The following is a 7,178-nucleotide window of genomic DNA, read 5'->3' on the forward strand; positions in this document are numbered from 1 at the left end:
CTAGAGACCTCCCTTAATTTTAAAGCCAACCCTAGAGCAGAATGTGAGGAGGCCAGTCTTGCCCTGCTCCCAAAGTAAGTGACTGGCAGAGGATGAAAGGTAGGCAGGAAATATAGACTTCGGGAAAGAGATGCTGGCCTGGAATCAGCAGTGACCCTGGGAAGCTGAACTTACCCTGTGTTACAGCAAAAGAGGAACTGAATGGAATCAAATTGAAAAGGCAGTCTTGTGTGTATCTTACTCTTGAAATCTTGGTGTTATGGTTTAGATGGAAAGGGAGGTCTCTGGCTGAGTTTCTGGGGATACCAGAATGTTCTGATATGCAAGAGATTACCTGACCCCTACACCGTGCCAGATTACAGAAGGATGAGTGGTCTTTCTTTCTTATTCTGGAAGGGGAAATGCAGATCATCCCAGAGAATGGACTGGGAAGGATAAGTTAGGAAAATCGGTTCCAGTTCTCACATTGAAAGATTTATGGGTATTAGAAACAAAATCTAAGACACACAAGTTTTTCTCTAATCAGTGACCCAGTGAGCAGTCCTGGGCTTCCTAAAGTAATAACCAGTGTGTTCCACCATTTTTAGGAAGGGCTCAACTCCCCTAAACTGGCCTTGCCCCTCCCAATCTTCTCTTCCCTGGCAAATCTCCACCTTGCCACCAACAGCCTAGTCCTTGACAGAATACGCCTAATCCTCAGTGTGAGGTTTTATACTTTTGTAGAACTCAGCTTGTATTAAAGGCTAAAAGAGCAGTGGTTAATTCAAGTTCATGGAGCAAGCCCTAAAACCAAACTAGTCCACAGCCAGTCACAGAACAAAAAAATCCTTATTTCCCACTAAGGGATCATTTCAGTCCTGGCTTCTGTAGGGTTCCAGCCAAATTCCAAGATAATCTGCAAGATGAAATTTCACTAAGTTTTTCACCCATTAATTAAGTTTTCTATGACCATTTAAACATGGGAAAAAAATCATACAGCATACTAGAACTTATTTTATTAAGTAGATGAGTAAGTGGTTTCCTGTTTATCAGCTAATTATTTGCTTTTTGTGAAATGCACCTTGTTTATGCAAAAAGTCAAAAAAATAAGTTGGCATTGTTTCTCTGTGTAAAAAGAAATGTAAATAATTAATGTTTTTAAAATAAAGGAATAATCTGCTGTGATAGAGAGTATCTAGTTATTCTATGGCAATTGACCCCTTTTATAGCAGCGATGACCACAATTTACTAAGCAGCTATTACGTGTTTGGAGCTCCATAGATTCTGAATGCTCCCACCAACTATGCTACATAGGAACCTGTGGCTCAGAGAGATGAGTGAGACTCAAGATTACACATTTAGTTAGTAGGCAGAGTTGGATTCAATCATGGGTTCACCTGCCCCTGAAGTCTGCATTTATTTTTATTTTTTTTTTGTAGAGATGGGGTCTTGCTATGTTGCCCAAGCTGGTCTTGAACTCCTGGTCTCAAGCAATATTCCCACCCTGGCCACCCGAAGTGCTGGGATTACAAGTGTGAGCCACTGCGTCTGGCCTAAAGTCTACGTCTTCTGCACAGTTTTTCTCTCTGCTCTGCCGCCGCATCCACGCATGTTTGTATAATAATAGCTAACTTATATTAAGCCACTCCTCTGTGCCTGGCATTGTACATCCTTATAAAACCTGTATTATTTAATCCTTATTGTAGAGACAGGAAAGATGAGTCTCAGAAAGTTAAGATTTTTTGCCCAACATCTCACAAGTTTCAAATGAACTTGAATTCAGGTAGTTAATTGTCTGAAAATAACTCTTCTTTCCAGCAGACTTGTAAATTTCAAAGTAAATTGGACATTTAGTTTAAATTTTGCATTTTTCTGGAAAAAGAGAGGAAAAATAGGAAATCCTTCATAATTTCCAAAAGTTTTAGAATAAATAATATGGGAAGAGGCTACATTGTTATGGATATCCTGGGCCACTTAGTGAAAATGGCTGAATGTTATTATTTGGTGCGTTTAATCTACAAATTCAGACTTCATTTTCAAGCTTCAAATATTTTCGAGATATCTGTGGAGTATAGCTTTATGACTAAATTTTGTGTCCCAAGATGCTTCCTTTACTCTTGATGCTGAAATAACTACACTAGGTTAAATACAGAAAGGGTTTGTAGGTCAACATTCAGGAAAATAGCACACTGAACATGTGGTTTTAAATAATGTTTTAATGAAGAAGAATGAGAAGGTTATTTTGCAAGACAGAGGGGATTGTCACATTACGCTTACCTAGAATTCTAAGGCAAGAATATTAATGGAGACTCATAAATCATTTGTTCAATTATTTTCAAATTAGTTCTTAAAATTTAAAAGTCAAATACAAATTATAAGATTGAAAATTAAAAATTCAAATCAAAAATTTTTAAAGCAAATATTTTTAATTTAAATGAAATTTATTACATATTTTTATATAAATTTGCAATTCTAATATTTATTATTTATCTAGTTGTCAAATAATTGGTATCAAGCTTCATACATGTTATATCTAGACCTACATACCTACAGAAATGTAGGACTAATACATTTTTTTCTATATTGCAAAACATTCTTCAGCATCCATGTGCAGCTATTGCCAATACCACACTAACTCATGACAACCCCTGGAACCAAATGGAGTTGGAATCAAAGAGACACAAGAAAATAGTCACTTGATTGTACTGGGAAACAATACTTAATTATTCACAAAGCAATACTGAATGAATGAATACACTCATGCTCTCTGAAAAAGGGAGTCAACAAATTCCTTAATATATTTTTCTGAGATGGAGTCTTGCTCTGTCACCCAGGCTGGAGTGCAGTGGCACAATTTTAGCTCACTGCAACCTCTGTCTCCCAGGTTCACCCTATTCTCCTGCCTCAGCCTCCCGAGTAGATGGAATGACAGGCACACGCCACCACGCCTGGCTAATTCTTTGTATTTTTAGTAGAGATGGGATTTCGCCATGTTGGCCAGGCTGGTCTGTAACTCCTGACCTCAGGTGATCTGCCTGCCTTGGCCTCTCAAAGTGTTGGGATTACAGGCATGAGCCACAGCACCTGGCCAATATCTTTTATCTTATCCAAGCATTCCCACCCTCCCCATACTCCTTAAGTAGTTTCCATCTCTGATGTTGAAAGAGGCACAACACACAAACCTCACAGTGTCCAAACACAGTAGCCTTTTGTTTCAAGGACATGGGGCTAACGTGAAGTCATGTGGCAGATCTTCAGAGTCACATCATGCTGGGAGAGTGTTGAGAGGTGGATCCCACATGACAGTGGTGTAGGCCCTCTAAAGGGTGGGGCCCATGGCAGGGGCACACCTTGTGGGGTCTATGGGTGGCACTATTTTTACTGGTGGAAGGTATTTGAGTTACGGGGGGCAAATCAGAACAGGTGTGTAACTCAACTCTTGCCTCTTCAGAAGAAAGAATTTGAGGGGCATAAAGCAGAAAAAGAGACCGAGGCAAGTTTCAGAGCAGGAGTGGAAGTTTATTTTAAAAGGCTTTAGAACAAGAAAGATAGGAAAGTACACTTGGAAGAGATCCAAGCATGCGACTTGAAGAATAAGCGCAATGTTTAACCTTGATCCTAGGACTTTATAGGCTAGCCCCTTTCCCATAATTCTTCCCTTAGGGTGGGCTGCCCACACGCACAATGCCTCTTTACCTTTGGGAACTGAGCACACACAGTGTGTTTAGGAAGTTGTACACATGGCCATCTGAGGCTTTCTGCCCTTTTCTGGGGGAGTGCCCCTAGAAGGTCATACTCTACCACTGTCTTTTTTTTTTTTTTTTTTTTGAGACCGAGTTTCACTCTTGTTGCCCAGGCTGGAATGCAATGGCGCAATCTTGGCTCACTGCAACCTCCGCCTCCTGGGTTCAAGAGCTTCTTCTCCTGCCTCAGCCTCCCAAGTAGCTGGGATTACAGGCATGTGCCACCACACCCAGCTAATTTTGTATTTTTAGTAGAGATGGGGTTTCTCCATGTTGGTCAGGCTGGTCTCAAACTCGCGACCTCAGGTGATCTGCCTGCCTCGGCCTCCCAAAGTGCTGGGATTACAGACGTGAACCACTTCACCCGGCCCATTTTGTCTGTTAATGCATATGCCCAGAAAGTTGCTTCTCTCTGGTGCCCGCATTCAATTAACACTTTAGTGCAGTAATTGTGGACCATCAGAAAATGGCCTCTCCCTGGCTCCAGCTGCCAATTTATCACTTTTAGAGAGGCAATGTGATAATTGCTGAACCATCACCTGACATTCCTAGTGGGCGGGGGAGAGCTGTCTCCTGCCCTGCTCATGCCTAACTGCCTGTAACACTATGGTACATGTTTGAGAAACTAGTACTTACTGAAAGATAAAATAACATAGGAGGAAGACTTTGTAGGAGACAACAAAAGGGGAAGACAGTGGAATTTATAAGAATGACAAAATACATTGCAGAGTAATATAAAGTAAGGAATTTACCCCCTTGAAGTACTTGGTTTGTGGTGGGCATGGGACTTCTGATATGTCTTGGAGCCTTGGATGCCAGGTAATTACCAGTTTTGCAGAACACTGACATCTATGGACTCTAACATGGACTCCATTTAAAGAACTCCAAGGACGATTAATAAACAAAAACACAAATCAATTTGCACTGTTGCCTAAATATCACCTAAAATAGCACGTTAGGAAAGCACCAAGTACCAAGTGTGTGAAGACATGGTCTGAAGAAGTGTCTGAAGACCATCATTCCACATTTCACATTGAATAATATCATGAAGACTTAAGATCCTCTTAAAAAGCTTCAAAGCTCATCTTTATTAATTTCTCACAAAAGTAAACCTCTTCCCAAAAGTATAAACTTAAAACTACTAATGTATCAATATATTCTATTTTGTGTCGTCTCATCGTGAGAGGTGACAGCGTGCTGGCAGCCCTCGCAGCCCTCGCTCGCTCTGGGCTCCTCCTCTGCCTGGGCACCCACTCTGGCGGTGCTTGAGGAGCCAGCCCTTCAGCCCGCCGCTGCACTGTGGGAGCCCTTTTCTGGGCTGGCCAAGGCCGGAGCGGGCTCCCTCAGCTTGCGGGGAGGTGTGGAGGGAGAGGCGTGGGCGGGAACCGGGGCTGCCCACGGTGCTTGCGGGCCAGCGCGAGTTCTGGGTGGGCGTGGGCTCGGCGGCCCTGCACTCGGAGCGGCCGGCTGGCCCCACCACCCCGGGCAGTAAGGGGCTTAGCACCCAGGTCAGCAGCTGTGGAGGACGCACAGGGTCCCCCAGCAGTGCCAGCCCACTGGCGCTGCGCTCGATTTCTCGCTGGGCCTTAGCCACCTCCCCATGGGGCAGGGCTCCGGACCTGCAGCCCGCCATGCCTAAACCTCCCCACTCCGCCGTGGGCTCCTGTGCCACCCGAGCCTCCCCGACCAGCACTGCCCACTGCTCCAGGGCGCCTGGTCCCATCGACCACCCAAGGGCTGAGACCTGCCAGCGCACAGTGCAGGACTGGCAGGCAGCTCCACCTGCAGCCCTGTGCAGGATCCACTGGGTGAAGCCAGCTGGGCTCCTGAGTTTGGTAGGGACTTGGAGAATCTTTATGTCTAGCTAAGGGATTGTAAATACACCAATCAGCACTCTGTATCTAGCTCAAGGTTTGTAAATGCACCAATCAGTGCTCTGTGTCTAGCTAATCTAGTGGGGACTTGGAGAACTTTTGTGTCTAGCTCAGGGATTATAAATGCACAAATCAGCACCCTGTCAAAACGGACCAATCAGCTCTCTGTAAAATGGACCAATCAGCAGGATGTGGGTGGGGCCAGATAAGGGAATAAAAGCAGGCTGCCTGAGCTAGCAGTGGCAACTTGCTCAGGTCCGTTTCTGTGGCGTGGAAGCCTTGTCTTTTCGCTCCTTGCAGTAAATCTTGCTGCTCCTTGCAGTAAATCTTGCTGCTGCTCGCCATTTGGGTCCACACTGCGTTTATGAGCTGTAACACTCACTGCAAAGGTCTGCAGCTTCACTTATGAAGGCAGCAAGACCATGAACCCAGCGGGAGGAACAAACGACTCCAGATGTGCGGCCTTAAGAGCTGTAACACTCATCGTGAAGGTCCGCAGCTTCACTCTTGAAGCCAGCGAGACAACGAACCCACCAGAAAGAACTCTGAACACATCGGAACATCAGAAGGAACAACTTCCAGACACGCCGCCTTTAAGAACTGTAACACTCACCGCAAGGGTCTATGGCTTCATTCTTGAAGTCAGTGAGACCAAGAATCCACCAATTCTGTACACAATTGGACTTCCCTTTAATTTTTTTGGCTTTTAGGGTTTTTCATATTGCTTGTGTTCCCTTAGACGGGAGACAAACAATACTTTCCAGAAAAATACATGTTTTGGGGCCTTTTTCACTAGTAAAAACCTGGCATAACAATAAAACTAACTTTGCAAATATTATGACAGTGCAAGAAGTCCAGCATGGCTGACTGCATCTTGCTTCTAGCCTCACAGGCTGCCTGTCCTCGCTCATTCCTGGGTGTAGGCTCAGCTAACCCCGGGAGGAATTTAGTTTATGGTTTAACTTTGAAGCAAGGATGGTAATAGTCTGTCCCTAAAACTGATCCCCTCATTATCTGGGGACTGAAACCACCTTTGTAAGACTAATGAAAAAGACACAAGATTAGGCGTGTGGGAGAGGCCTGAATTCTGCTAAAATGTAAGCATGGTGAAATGATAACCAACTATTGTTTTGTATAATCCCTGAGTATTAAAATGTAGGTGTAGTTAAGCAGTACTACCAGCAGTTACTATTTCCTAGCTTGCTTTTCTATAATTTCTTACTGTTCAGGAGTCATGAAGTCAGAGGTCATAAGATTTGTAATTGCTTCTACAGTTGACATCACTATTGTCAAAACCTAAGACTGGTTTTTGAAATACTTTTCAGACTTCTGCATTCTGGTAACTAACTCCACCCAGACCCATGATTCGTATCAAGGAACTGACTCAACTGTTGGTCCCCACCCAGAATTGATTCAGCACTTGGAGACAGTTTGGACACTCCTATGATTTCATCCCCAACCAATCAGCAGCACCCATTCTCTTAGTCTGCTACACACCAAATTATCCTTAAAAGCCCTAGCTTCTGAGCTCTCGTAGAGGCAGATTTGAGAATTATCTCCTGTCCTACCACTTATCTGGCCC

At 44.0% G+C, this 7,178-nt stretch overlaps 1 annotated feature.

Annotated features, from left to right (window-relative positions):
• Positions 3,046–3,340: an enhancer, noted in NCBI's record as "tiled region #2425; HepG2 Activating DNase matched - State 5:Enh". NCBI's record gives its function as "activates a minimal TATA promoter and a strong SV40 promoter by Sharpr-MPRA in HepG2 cells {active_cell/tissue: HepG2}" and the evidence as "EXISTENCE:reporter gene assay evidence [ECO:0000049][PMID:27701403]".

Source organism: Homo sapiens, chromosome 10, assembly GCF_000001405.40.
Source record: "Homo sapiens chromosome 10, GRCh38.p14 Primary Assembly".
Classification (NCBI taxonomy): domain Eukaryota; kingdom Metazoa; phylum Chordata; class Mammalia; order Primates; family Hominidae; genus Homo; species Homo sapiens.